This window comes from Homo sapiens, chromosome X (assembly GCF_000001405.40).
Source record: "Homo sapiens chromosome X, GRCh38.p14 Primary Assembly".
Taxonomy (NCBI): domain Eukaryota; kingdom Metazoa; phylum Chordata; class Mammalia; order Primates; family Hominidae; genus Homo; species Homo sapiens.
The window spans coordinates 130362105-130376688 of NC_000023.11; the positions used below are offsets into that span (position 1 = coordinate 130362105).

At 39.0% G+C, this 14584-nt stretch overlaps 1 protein-coding gene across 8 annotated transcripts in view; it reads left to right on the plus strand.

Annotated features, from left to right (window-relative positions):
- The window catches only part of SLC25A14 (solute carrier family 25 member 14), a 33439-nt gene extending 22186 nt beyond the window's left edge, over nucleotides 1–11253 (plus strand). For 7 of the 8 annotated variants that reach the window (NR_104107.2, XM_011531402.3, NM_001282195.2 and 4 more), the window contains 4 exons: nucleotides 2524–2648; nucleotides 3437–3572; nucleotides 9460–9540; nucleotides 10805–11253. Coding sequence is in view for 7 of the 8 variants with exons in the window: in XM_011531402.3 (XP_011529704.1) it covers nucleotides 2524–2648; nucleotides 3437–3572; nucleotides 9460–9540; nucleotides 10805–10846 (384 nt within the window). In the remaining variant the exon portion in view is untranslated. Of the gene's footprint in view, nucleotides 1–2523; nucleotides 3573–9459; nucleotides 9541–10804 lie in introns of those variants that run through there. The other variant, XM_047442617.1, reaches the window with a different exon arrangement.

The window sequence follows — 14584 nt, forward strand, 5'->3', positions numbered from 1 at the left end:
ATTTATTTATTTATTTATTTATTTATTTATTTATTTATTTATTTATTTTTTGAGACGGAGTCTTGCTATGTTGCCAGGCTGGAGTGCAGTGGCGCGATCTCGGCTCACTGCAACCTCCGCCTCCTGGGTTCAAGCGATTCTCCTGCCTCAGCCTCCTGTGTAGCTGGGATTATTATTATTATTTTTTTAAGTGAAAGCAAGTTTATTAAGTAAAGGAATAAAGAATGGCTACTCCATAGGCAGAGCAGCCCCACTTTATAAATTGAGTTTGGGAACTTAGAGATGACTGAAAACTTTTTAATATAGTGGTTATCCCAGAAAGCAGATGTCCTCATGGTATGTTATTTTCAATTTTAACTGACACCTAAACACAGTTATAAAAGTAAAACATTCATTGTGAAAATGTAAAAAGAAATAGGCATAAAAATGAAAATTAACATCTCTTATCCTAATACCAGAGGAAAAAAATATTTTGATGTATTTCGTTCTAATCCTAAGAATTTGGCCTGGTGTGTATACCTTTTCCCCTGAAGATAGAATAATACTATATATAATTTTATGCCTTGCTTTATTTAACATGCTATCATGCTATCATAAGCGTTTTCTTGTGTCATTAATATTCTTCAAAAATGTGACTTTTAATGCTCTAGCAACCCTGTGTTGTAATGTGAGCTGTGATAGGAGCATCGTGCTAGTGAGTGAAACCCTGGTAATGTTACCACAGCAGGACTTGTAAGCGAAGGACCACTTTCCCTTGGCTTTTCCTCTTGCTTCTTCATACCTTTGCTGTCACCTTAGTGTTTGTCCTTTCTGCACATCTGAAAATTCTGTGAATTAAACCTGAAAGCTCTCTTCTCCCCACTGATTTTTGCTTCATGATTTTATTTATAACAGCTTTATTGGGAAAATTCACATATTATAATGATAATTCCCAAATTCTTTATTGAGATAATTCACATAAAATTCACCATCTTTAAAGTATACGATTTAATTGTTTCTAGTATATTCACAGATTAGTGCAGCCATTACCACTGTCTAAGTTTAGAACATTTTCATTACCAAAAAGAAACCCTTACCCTTTACCCATCACTTCTCATTTCCCCCAGCCCTCCTAGCTGTGGACAACCACTAATCTACTTTCTGTCTCTATAGATTTACCTGTTCTAGGTATTTCATGTAAATGGAATCACGCAATATGTAGACTTTCGTGACTGGCTTCTTCCATTTAGCATACTGATTTTAAGGTTTATCCATGTTGCAGCATGTATCAGTACTTTATTCCTTTTTATGGGTGAATATTAATTCCATTGTGTGGGTATACCACATTGTATTTGTCCCTTCATCAATTAATGAGCATTTGGGTTCTTTGCACATTTTGGCTATTATGAATACTGCTATGAACATTTCTGTACACATTTTTGTATGAACATCTATTTTCAGTTCTCTTGGGTATATACCTAGGTGTAGAATTGCTCGCTCATATGGTAATCTGTGTTTAACTTTTTGAGGAAGTGCCAAATTGTTTTCCACAGTGGCTGCCCCATTTTACATTCCCACTGACAGCATATAAGGGTTCCTATTTCTTCACATCCTCACCAACACTTGCTCTTTTACTTTTTCTTTCTTAATTTTTTTAAATTTTTTTTTGAGGCAGGATCTTGCTGTGTTGCCCAAGCTGGAATGCAGTGGTGCAATCATGGCTCACTGCAGCCTCAGCCTCCCAGGCTCGGGTGATCCTCCCACCTCAGCATCTCAAGTAGCTGGGACTACAGGCACATGCCACCATGCCTGGCTAATTTAAAAAATTTTTTTAAGAGATAGAGTCTTACTGTATTGCCCAGGTTTGTCTAGAACTCCTCCTCAAGTGATCCTCCTGCCTCACCCTCTCAAAGTGCTGGGATTACAGGCATGAGCCCCTGTGCCTGGCCTTCTTTTACTTAAAAGAAAAATCGTTATAGCCATCCTAGTAGGTATGAAGTGGTATGTCCTTGTGGTTTTGATTTGCATTTCTCTAGTGACTAATGATGTTTAGCATCTTTTCGTGTGCTTATTGGCCATTTGTGTATCTTTTTTGAAGGAAATATCTTCAGGTCTTTTGGCCATTTTAAAATTGGATTGTTTGCCTTTTTTGTTGTAAGAGTTATTTATATATTCTTGACACTAGTCCCTTATCAGATATATGAGCGGCAAATGTTTTTTTCCTTTGTGTATGTTGACTCTTCACTTTCTGAGTGGTGTCTTTTGAGTCATAAAAGTTTTTAATTGTGATGAAGTCCAGTTGATCTTTTTTTTTTCTTTTGTCTTTTGTGCTTTGGGTGTCATATCAATTATTTTATTTTTAGTATAGCAAGTGAATTGGAAATTTGTATATGTTCCATTATTAGTCATTGATTTGAAAGAGTGACGTCTGTACTTCAGACTTGTATTTTTCTGTTACTTTTCAACTCCTGACCTATTTTGTTCACTCTAAGACATCACTCCCTTTGTATTTCCTTGGTGCCTAATGTCACTTGTGTTTCGTAGGGTGTGGTTCCAACTGCTCAGCGTGCTGCCATCGTTGTAGGAGTAGAGCTACCAGTCTATGATATTACTAAGAAGCATTTAATATTGTCAGGAATGATGGGCGATACAATTTTAACTCACTTCGTGTAAGTAGGATGGGATGTGCTCATTTTATTTCCAGCATTTTGAGCACAAAAAGCCTCTTTTACTGAAATCCTCAGGTGGAATTTGATAACTGGTACGTATGGCCTAAATTCCCTTGTCTCTCCTATTATCAGAACTTCAAGCCTTATGAACACTTTATACTTCACAGAAATGCCAGGTGCTATGGGGGCTTGGGTACTTGGGAACATTGTCTAATACAGCAGCCTATCAGAGGTCTATTTGATTTACATTTATCCATACATAGCTTCTATATCTAATAAGCACATCTATTATTTGCTTTGGTTAATTTTGTTTGAGAAAGCAAACTTTTCTCAGTGGGAATCAGAAAAAAAGGGGTAAATAAGGTCTGTGAAACTAAAGCACAGTTTTTTGGCTAAAGACTGTTACTGATCTCATTTTACATTTTCTTTGTCTTGCAACCTTTATGATAATTTTGTTACTCAAATGCATTTGGCATGTGATGCTGTGGTTTGAAAAATTTATGTAACTAATACATGGTGCATGATACTTTCTACTTAGGAATCTTGTTAGGTTTAGAAACTCTCCTTTAAAAAAAAGGCTGAGTTTCAGATTGAAAATTGAAGGGACAGCCTTTGAATGATGTCTCTTTAGAAAAATTTCCTGTCTCTTTAGATTGTAACGAAAGGCCAAGTGCCAGGTTTTATCTGATGGGTCTGAGTTATATTGTACAGTTTACGTTTGGCCTAATTTCTGTTTAAGTGGGCAGGGAGTGAAAGTGGGGTCGATCTACTTAAACTTTTCCTCTTAGTTCCAGCTTTACATGTGGTTTGGCTGGGGCTCTGGCCTCCAACCCGGTTGATGTGGTTCGAACTCGCATGATGAACCAGAGGGCAATCGTGGGACATGTGGATCTCTATAAGGGCACTGTTGATGGTATTTTAAAGGTAAGTACATTGTGGATTTGGGTTACAATTTGGCTTTCTTTGATGTCTTAGACCTTCCTTCAGTTCTTATTATTAGTTGCTACATACCATTTTGAAGATGAAAGAATCATATTTTTTTAGTAGCTTCTCAGTTATTCCCAGGTAGAAAAGCTGTCTCCTTAGCAATCTGCTAATTTGCAGTGGTACTTAATATAATGATTCCCATTTGAATGCTTTAAAATACAGGATGCTTTTATTAATAGTATCATGTAGAATTATTGATAGAAAAGACAATATATCCCCCATTTGCCTACTTCATACAACACAGAGACCCTGCAATAGAAAACTCAATACTTAAGGAAAAAAGCCTGTATTTTATTTCAGTTCACGGTTATGCTGTTGTTCACTTTGGCTTTGAAAGTTCCTGCTGTTGTGTTTGTGGGAACTGAATATTCTAAAAGTATTACATCATTACTGGTGATATTATTGCTACTGAAAACAAATTGAGGCTAAAATATGATGTTGCCATATGGTTTCTCTCCTGTTATCAGTTTTGTTTAACAACTATTACATATTAGACACCATTTTAGTAGTTAGAGAGAAATTACAGTTATTACAAAAGTACTATAGGTATACAAACGGATCATCAGTACAGCCTGATAAGTGATAAACTCAAGAGTTCTCAATTTGGAAGCATTGAGGTAGGCTCCCTGTAGATGGTGGCATCTTGAATAACAATAACTCATATCCACTGAGTGCTTTTTTGTGTGTCAGCAACTGTCCTTATGAGACTTATGTGTATTCGTTCATTGAATCCTCACCATTACTCCACGAGGTAGACACTGAAGCACTGAAAGATTAAGTAAGCTGCCTAAGGTTTCACAGCTACTAAGTGGGAGAACTGGAATTTAAACTCAGATCACTTGACCTCAAACTGACATTTACCTCTCCACTATGGTGCTTTCCTCATATTGGTGGCCAAGGGTTAGATTATAAAGGATACTGAATGCTATATTGAGGTGCTTGGACTTTTTTTTAACTTGTCAGGGAGCTGTTGAAAGTTTTTAATCAGATTAGCTTTGCATTTTAAATAGATTACTTTGGCTTTATGGAGACTGGATCTACCACAGTGGTTCCTCATCTTGGGTACACATTGGAATCACTTGGGAGAACTTTCGCAGCTCCCTCCTCTACCTTAGACCAATTAACTCAGAACCTGGGGAGTAAGGTCCAGGTGTCAATATTTTAAACTATATCAGGTGACTGCAATGTTCACCTAAGGTTGAAGACTACTAAGGGGATAAGCCTGGAGCCATGGTTCTTCAAAGTTTAACATGCATCAGAATTACCTGGAGGGCTTGTTAAACTGCAGTTCACTTGGAGCCATCTCCAGATTCTGATTTAGTAAGTATGGAGTGGGACCTGGAAATTTGCATTTTTAATAAATTCCCAGGCAATACTGATGTTGCTAGTCTGGAGACCACACTTGGAGAACCACTGACCTACAGATAGGGAAGCTGATTAGAAGGCTCTTGTAATCTGAGAAAGAGGGGATGAAGGCCTGAACTTGAGCATGATAATGGAGATATAGAAGGTGGGACAGAGTCAAGAAAGAATTAGTTGATAGAGTCAGCAGGATTTGATTGACTGGATGTGGAGGGGTGTGGGAGAAAAGAGGTGTCAAAGATAAGTTCTGGGTTTTTGGAGTTGGTGACCAGGTGGTGACATTCATTGACAGAGGCATCACAAGAGGAGCACGTCTTGGGGGAGACATCCTAGTTTTGGATACTCAGTTTGATGTGCATGAGGAAAATCCAGTGGATACATATGGATATTCTAGCCCTGACTCAAGAGAGGGTTCATGGATATAGATAAAAGCCCATGGAGTCATTAGCACACAGGTGGTATATAACTGTGGAGAGAGTTGACCAAGGAGAGTAGGTAGAGGAGTTCACAACCTTTTTGCCTTCCCAGCATACTGGAGTACTATAAAATTCTTTCCCGTAATAATGATTGCCTGGGGCAGCAATTCTCAGACCCTGGAAAGTATAGTTTGGCAAAAGCCCCCATTGGTATTTCTGCATTTGACAATTACTGGTGTAGAGGGAAGAGCACTGGGCCAAGGAAAAAACACTGCAGAATACCAATTTTTATTTATTTATTTATGCCCAGGCTGGAGTGCAATGGCGTGATCTCTGCTCACTGCAATCTCTGCCTCCCGTGTTCAAGCAATTCTCCTGCCTCAGCCTCCTGAGTAGCTGGGATTACAGGTGCCCGCCACTACGCCTGGCTTATTTTTGTTTTTAGTAGAGACAGGGTTGCACCATGTTGGTCAGGCTGGTCTCGAACTCCTAACCTCGTGATCCACCCGCCTTGGCCTCCCAAAGTATTGGGATTACAGGCGTGAGCCACCGTGCCCTGACCGGAATACCAATTTTTAAGGTCTTGGCAGATGAGGAACCTAGGAAAGACACCAAAGACGAGGAAACTTAGAGAGTAGTGTCATGGGAGCCAAAGAAGTTAATGAGTTTCAAGAAGGAATGAGTGGTTACTTAATGTCACATGCAATAGCGATCTAATATGATAAGGACTGCAAAGAGTCTGTTGGATTTAATATTTTTTAGAAGGTTTGGTGAATTGGTGTTTGCAAAAGCCAATTGCTGTGCATTGAGGAATATGTTTGATTATTCATTCAAGTAATAAAAAAGAAAAAATCAAGCTGACTCTTGAAGAGGCCCCCCCACACACACACAAAAGAAAGAAATGTTTGTCTTATGTGCTAAGCACTGTTCTAGGTTGTTGAGGATGTACTGGTAAACCAAAATGTCCCTGTGTTTATGACACTTAGATTCTAATAGAAGGAGATAAACACAGGAAGTAATGATAAATAGACAAATGTAAAGCACTGTTTCAAGAAGATTGGCTAAAAGATTTACTGTAAGATTTACTATACAATAATATAGTAATAGCTAATGTTTATTGAATGCTTATTCTATCGCAGGCACTGTACATAGAGTATATCCTTTAACTCTCACAGCGACCTTGTGGAGTAGATATTATCTTTCCCATTTTATAAAGGAGGAAACTTAGGTTCAGAGTAGCTAAGTAATAACTTACACAAGATTACACAGCTAATAAGAGGCAGGTCTGAGACTTAATCCACAATCTGTCTGATTCCAAAGTTTGTACTTACAGCCACTATGCTGTTCTGAATCTGCAGAAACATGTTTTTATGTTGGTAGTAACCTTTAAGTACTTACATTTGCTCACTCATTTACTCACTTGCTACTAAAAAATTTTAATAGCAGTCATTCTTTAAAATGACTTTGTTCTATTTTGCCATTTATGTAATAGCATCAGACTTTATTATTTTGTCTATGCTTATCTATAGAAGTTCTTTGTTTTCACACAACTGCCTTATGCCAAAAGATGCCTCCCAGTTCTCACGTTGTGAAGAAATTGGTCACTGTTTTTGGAAATTTATAAAGATTCAAGCCGGGTGCTGTGGCTTGCATCCTGTAGTCTTAGCTACTCGGGAGGATCGCTTGAGCCAGAGTTTGAGGCTGCAGTGAGCTATGTAGTCTTGCCACTGCACTCCAGTCTAGGCGACAGAGCAAGACCATGTTTCTTAATTAAAAAAAAAAAGATCCAGATGGCTCACAAGAGTGTTAGAGACCCTTACTGTTTTTGTGTTCACCTCTTCAACAAATACTTACGGGAAAATTTCTTGCACCAGACACTGTGTTAGGTGGTGGTGACACAATGGTGAACAAACAAAGCTAGTTTCTAATCTCTTGGAGATTTCATTCTAGTTGAGGGAGACAATAAACACACAATGCACAGTATAATTTTAGATAGAAATAGATGCTATGCAGAAAATAACAGCATATTGCAATAGTGACTCAGTAGTGGGGAACTACTTCAGCAAGGATGGTCAAGAAAAGCCTCTGAGGAGGTGACATTTGAGCTGAGATCTGAATGATGATGAGCTGGCCATGAGAGCTGGGAGAAAACCATTTCATAAAGAGGGAATAGGTTACTGAAGGCCTGAGTTGGAAATAAGCTGGACATGTTCAAGGGTTAGAAAGAAAGCTAGTGTGGCTGAGTGTGTGGTGAATGAAGGGAGAAACTAGTAGGAAATGAAACTGGAGAGAAAGGCAGCAGCTAAATCATGTGGGATCCTATAGGTCTTTGCAGAGACTTTGTAATTAGAATGAAATCCACCAGGAAGCCATTTGAGAGCTTTAAGCAGGAAATGTTATGCTCTCATTTATAATTTTAAAAGATTGTTCTAGCTTCTAGGTAGAGATTTTAGACCAATTAAAAGTCCATTGTGGTAGTCCAGGTAAGAGATTATGAGATTGGATGGTCTTTCAGAGGTCTCTTGTCATTTAACAGTCTAGGTTCTAGGTTATTCACATCTGGGCTTTATTTGGGGTGATTTTCACAATTTTCCAACATCAGTTTTGGTCTCAGACCTTTACTATTTGCTGAAGATCCATTGGGGGAAACATATTACCACTATATCTTCATAAATATTGTGCTTATTATTTTACTGTTTGTTCCCAAAAGTAGTTAGTAAGGATAATTATCTCTAGTATACTTAATGTACAGGATGGGAAAAAGAATATTTACAACTCTGGCTTCTCATATTATTGTCTTATCCAAATATATCCTTTTTTTAGAATTGTGGTGGGTTTCACTTCACTATTGGAAAGGCAAAATAACATTTTTCAATGTCTAACACAATGCCTAACACACTGTAGTTATGTAATAGATATTTGTCCATTATATACGAACCATTTCTGCTGGCTAAATTCAGCACGTGCCACCAGTTTACAACGTTTATGCATAATTTATCATTTAATTCTCATAACCATGTATATAAGACCCCTGTTGTATAAAGTAGGAAACCAAAACTCAAAACACTTCACATTTTTCTTCATGTAATCCTCAAAGCATTCACATGAGGTAGGCTATGGCATTATATAGAATTTATAATGATGAAACAGACTCAGAGAAGAATAATGACTTGCCCAACTTTCTATTTTCTTACCCTGCTTTAGTTCTCTTTGTGGCACTTATTTTTGGATATAATATATATCAATTTGTGTATTTGTCAGCCCCACTAGAATATGCACTCCATGAGGGTAGAAACTGCTGTATAGGTTACCTATTGCTGTGTAACAAATTACTCCAAAACTCATTGCCTTAAACCATTTGTTATTTTGCAGTTTCTGTGGGCCAGGGATTGCAAAGCAGCTTAGCTGAGTTGATTCTGGCTTAGGCTGTCTCCTGAGGTTGTAGTTCATATGGCAACTAGGGTTGCTGCCATCTAAAGCCTTGACAGGCTGGGATAGCTGCTTCAGTGATCACTCATGCAGTTGTTGGCTGGAGCCCTCAGTTCCTCACCATGTAGTCCTCTCTTCATGATATAGCAGATGGTTTCCTCTAGAGTGAATGAATCCAAGAGAGAATAAGGCAGATGCTTTATTATATATAAAATATATTTTATAACCTAGCTATGGAAGTGACATATGTTCACTACTACCATATTCTGTTGGTGACACAGACCAAATACTATGGGGTGGAGGCTACGCAAGGGTACAAATAACTGGAGGTAGGGTTCATTGGGGGCCATCTTGGAGGCTGGCTACCATAGACACTTTTTCTGTCTTGTTTATTAGTATATTCTCAACATCAAGAATGGTGCTTTGCATATGTATGGTAGGTAAATATTTATTGATTAAGTGGGTGGATGGATTTAGACTACAGATGAATTTAAAATGGACCTTTAGAGAAAAGACTATTCATGGAGCCATAAGTTGCCCTGGGGTGGGAGTGGAAGGTGATGTCAAATGTAGAGAAAGGTGAATTCACTCTGTTTTTGGTTATATCTTTCCTGCAGATGTGGAAACATGAGGGCTTTTTTGCACTCTATAAAGGATTTTGGCCAAACTGGCTTCGGCTTGGACCCTGGAACATCATTGTATCCTTTGAGAGAATGAAAGCAAGTGCTTCAAGCTCCCAGATAATTCTAGGCTATGGGAAGGAAAATTTGATTATTAAAGCCTTTTAGGCTAGTGAGAAACTCAAGCATCCCATTGGTGACCCTTGAGAATCAAATTAAGCAAAGAAACAGCTTTCAGTTGGAGGCTAATACAAACTAAAAGGGATAGAAAAGATATGTCAAACTTTACTCTTTAAAACAAAATGACAACAAACACAGCTAATCTGGAAGGGGCTATGAAGTTTTTAGAAACCCTGATGGACGAAGCCTACAGGAAAGTCCATGCTGAGGTGGTTCAGATTTCCTACCCCTAACTATAGGACCAAAATAGCTGGGAAATAAAAACAGGACAGAAGACATTCATGGGGTGAAGGAATCCACAGCCAAGCAGGCTTCTTTCTTCATGGGTGAATCTGTCTCCTCCAGTTGTGTTTGAGTGCCTCCTAAGTGCAGAGCCATGTATTGGATACTGTGTGTGGTGTTGTGTGTATAATGGTAAGCACCGCAGGGTTGGAAAGTAATTCTCTGCCCTTGTGGGGTCTGTAGACAGAGAGAGGGTATCTCGTTCCCTCTTGGAATCACTCTGATCATCTAATTAATTATATGTCGTCACTGATGTTCTTGGTTACTGTGTGTGTGTGCGTGTGTGCGTTTGTCCTGTTTCCCCCTGAAGACTATAAATATATTAGAGTTTTACTCTGTTTATGTTGTTCGATGCCAGTGATCTGAATGGGCACATGGTAGGCACTCAATGCATGCTTGATTTGACAGGTGGTGTTTTATTTATTTATTTATTTATTTTTATTTTTTTTTTTGAGATGGAGTCTTGCTCTCTCGCCCAGGCTGGAGTGCAGTGGCGCGATCTCGGCTCACTGCAAACTCCACCTCCTGAGTTCACGCCATTCTCCTGCCTCAGCCTCCCGAGTAGCTGGGACTACAGGCACCCGCCACCACACCCGGCTAATTTTTTGTATTTTTAGTAGAGACAGGGTTTCACCATGTCAGCCAGGATGGTCTCGATCTCCTGACCTCGTGATCCACCCACCTCGGCCTCTCAAAGTGCTGGGATTACAGGCGTGAGCCACCGCGCCCGGCTGTCAGGTGGTGTTTTAGAAAAGATTTTAAAGCAGATGCAGCTTGGAATAGCATAGACTACCTTAATTTAAGAGAATGCGATGCTAATTTTAGAACTAGCTTTGGCTTTCGATATCAACCTGGTGATCTTCCTTGACTTACTCCTCAGTTTTTTATTACATACGAGCAGCTAAAGAGGCTTCAAATCTAAGAACTGAATTATATGTGAGCCCAGCCCTGCCAGCCTTTCTACTCCTTTGCCCTTTTCCCGTGTTCTAATGTATTTTGACAATGTTGTAAGTGTTTACCAAGCCGTTGGTCTCCTAAGGGCCTCCTGATGGAAGAACAGTGGGGTGGTTCAAAGTTATTTCTATGTTTGTGTTACCATGTTAACTTTTCCCCGAGAGAAAGTGTTAACATTGAGACTCTGGCCCCAGATTGGTATCTTCTATGAAGATGGATACTGATGGGTGACATTGAAAACGGCCTGCTTTCCAAATGTGGTTAAATGTAATTGGTTAGCCCCAGACTTGGGCTAGAGCAGAAGGCATAGGCCAGGGTGGTTATTGCTATATGTGTTACAGACCTCGGTTCTCATTAAAGTATTTATTGGCAGAATCACTTTGGCTTTGTCTTCATTTACTATTTTCTCCTTTGCCAACTCTTGAAGTTACATTCTCCAGAGAATAATAAAGGAAGATAACTATGAAATTGAGACTGGACTCTTAAAGTGCACTTTTATGAGACGAGAATGAGTGCATTGTGCTTTCCCACTGCCATTCATTGTCATAATGCCACTGCTAAACGTTGGGCAGGTGGTTCTTTCTTAAACATGAATAAACAAGCAAGTGGCTCATTTGGAAGTTCCTACAGGTAAAAAGCTAAAAAAAGGCTTAAAATAGAAGCCTGTTCCCAGGGTTCTAATCATCTTACAGGTACAAAGTTCTGGCTACTTTTTTTGTACTGAAACAGAGCCCGGCTCATTGTAGGCACTCAAATATTTGTGGAATTAATAGTTCTTCATCTTTATCCATTCATTAATTTGTTCAACATTTATTATGTATCTATTATGTCTAGGACTATAAAATGACTAAGACATAGTGTCTGTTTTCAAGCTCACATCATAGTGGAAGAACAGATTTGTAAGTAAATAATTACAGTAGGACCTAAGTACTATGTGAGAGATGAACAAAATGCTGTGTGGGAGCACAGAGGAGGAACAGCCTTACCTAGAGGATTTGCCAAAGGCTTCATAGCACAAATGACACTCGAGGTGAGACAGAGGAAGAGTCTATGTCACCATGAGGATAAGGCATTATACATTTTGACAAATGTGTAATATGTATCTATCATTATAGAATCATATAGAATGGTCTCACTGCCCTAAAAATCCTCTATGTTCCTCTTATTCGTTCCTTCCTCTCGCCTAACCTCTGGCAACTACTGAGGCTTTTTACTGTCTCCATGGTTTTGCCTTTTCCAGAATGTCATATAGTTGGAATCATACTTTTCAGATTGGCTTTTTTTTTTTTAACTTACTTATATGCATTTAAGGTTCCTCCATGTCTTTTCGTGGCTTGATAGTTCATTTCTTTTTAGCACTGAATAATACTCTATTGTCTGGATGTACCAGTTTATTCATTCACCCACTGAAGGACATCTTGGTTGCTTCGAAGTTTTGACAATTATGAATCAAACTGCTATAAATATTTGTGTGTAGGTTTTTGTGTAGACATTTTCAACTCATTTAGGTAAATATAATACCAAGGAGCACAGTTGCTAGATGGTACGGTAAGGGAATGTTTAGTTTTGTAAGAAACTGCCAAACTGTCTTGTGAAGTGGCTGCACCATTTTGCATTCCCAACAGCAATGAATGAGAGCTATTGTTGCTCCACATCTTCTCCAGCTTTTGGTGCTGTCATCGGTTTGGATTTTGGCCCTTCTGATAGGTATGTAGTGGTATCTCATTGTTTATATTATTATTTTTTAAAACATTTACTATATCCATCAGATACCCTACTCATCCCCAAATTAGCAAAAGGGAACATATTTTTTGTTTCACAATAGTACAGCTGAAAATAGTTTCTTTTTTTGTTGCCCAGGCTGGAGTACAGTGGTGTGATCTCGGCTCACTGCAACCTCTGCCTCCTGGGTTCAAGCGATTCTCCTGCTTCAGCCTCCTGAGTAGCTGGGATTACAGGCACCTGCCACCACGCCTGGCTAATTTTTTTTGTATTTTCAGTAGAGATGGGGTTTCACTATGCTGACCAGGCTGGTCTCGATCTCCTGACCTCAGGTGATCCGTCCGCCTCAGCCTCCAAAGTCCTGGGACTACAGGTGTGAGCCACTGCGCCCCGCCTGAAAATAGTTTCTTGAAGGATTTATATATATTGCAAAATGGCTTTAGTTCACCTCAACCTAAATATTATTCCTTCAGAAAAACCTTCCAGTGATTTCCTCTCCCCCAGTGTAAATAACTTTCCTCATTATAATTTCATATACCACATATCAGAATTTATATCTATGTACTATATGTGTGTGATTATTTCACTAATTTCTGTATCTCCCATCATTTGGGGCTCCATGAAAATAGGGATTATGTCAGTTTTGTTTACTACTGGGTTCTCAGTGCTTTATACAGTTATGTGCACTTAGTACACATTTGTTAAATGAGTAAATGAACTGGTCTGTATCCAAAGGATCTGATTAAATGCCTAAAACATAGGAAAGGTTCAACAAATACTGTGGAATTTAAATTGAATTAAATTAAAATTTGATTAACTGGGCGTGGTGGCCTGTAATCCCAGCTACTAGGGAGGCTGAGGCAGGAGAATTGCTTGAACCTGGGAGGCAGAGGTTGCAGTGAGCCACAATGGTGCCACTGCACTCCAGCCTGGACGACAGAGCAAAACCCCGTCTCAAAAATAAAATAAAATAAATTTTGAATTATTAGGAAAATGGCTGTAAGCTAAGGATTACTAAAGGTATGACCAAGTAGCAGGGCAGTGTTTTCCATGGTTTTAGTACCATATATCTGCTGGTGACTTCCAAATATACATCCTCAGCCCATACTTCTCCCCTGAACTCCATATTTCTATGTCCCACTGCTTATTCTACATCACTCTTAAAGTCTAATAGGCACAAGTTGGGCTCAGTGGCAGACATCTGTAGCCCCAGCTACTCAGGAGGCAGAGGCAGGAGGATCACTTGAGCCCAGGAGCTTAAGGCCAGCCTGGACAACATAACAAGACCCTGTCTCTAAGAAATAAAGTCTGAAAGACACTTCACAAAACAAAATTCTGGATTTGCCCCTAAAAACCCTTTTAGTGGCTCAGGCCTTGAAGTAATCCTTAACTCTGCTTACTCTCTTCCACAACCCACATCCTTTCCCCTAGGAAGTCATATTTGAAGGGATAAAATGATAACCAAAATCTGTAGGTTGTAAGATGCAAAAACTTTCCACTTTTTTCCCCTTTTTTTTGAGAGGCTGGAGAATGAAACAACCCAGATAATAGCTAATTAATAATTAGCTTAATAATTATTAGCTATTAATAATAGGTAATACAGAGTATGGGTTTTATTATGTACCAGGTACTGTTTAAGTATTTTGTGTTTATACTCTGTCTACATCCTTACAACCAGCCCTATGAGAGTAGGTACAATTCTCCTTTTTCAGATGAGAAACTGAGGCACAGAAAGGTGAAATACTTCTGCCTCTTAAACATGGCAGAGTCAGGATTCTAGCCCAGGCAGTCTGGCTCACAATCCCGTAATTACAATCACTATGCTTGAGGTATACTGACTTAACCTTGTCCAGAGTCACTTAAAGTTTATGGCAGGTGAGCAGTAAAGAATATTGATTTCATTAATTCCCCTATCTTTATAGCGCCGTGGGAGAAAGAAGGTCAATAGTTTTTGTGGTTGGTCACTCTTTATCACTTAACAGTA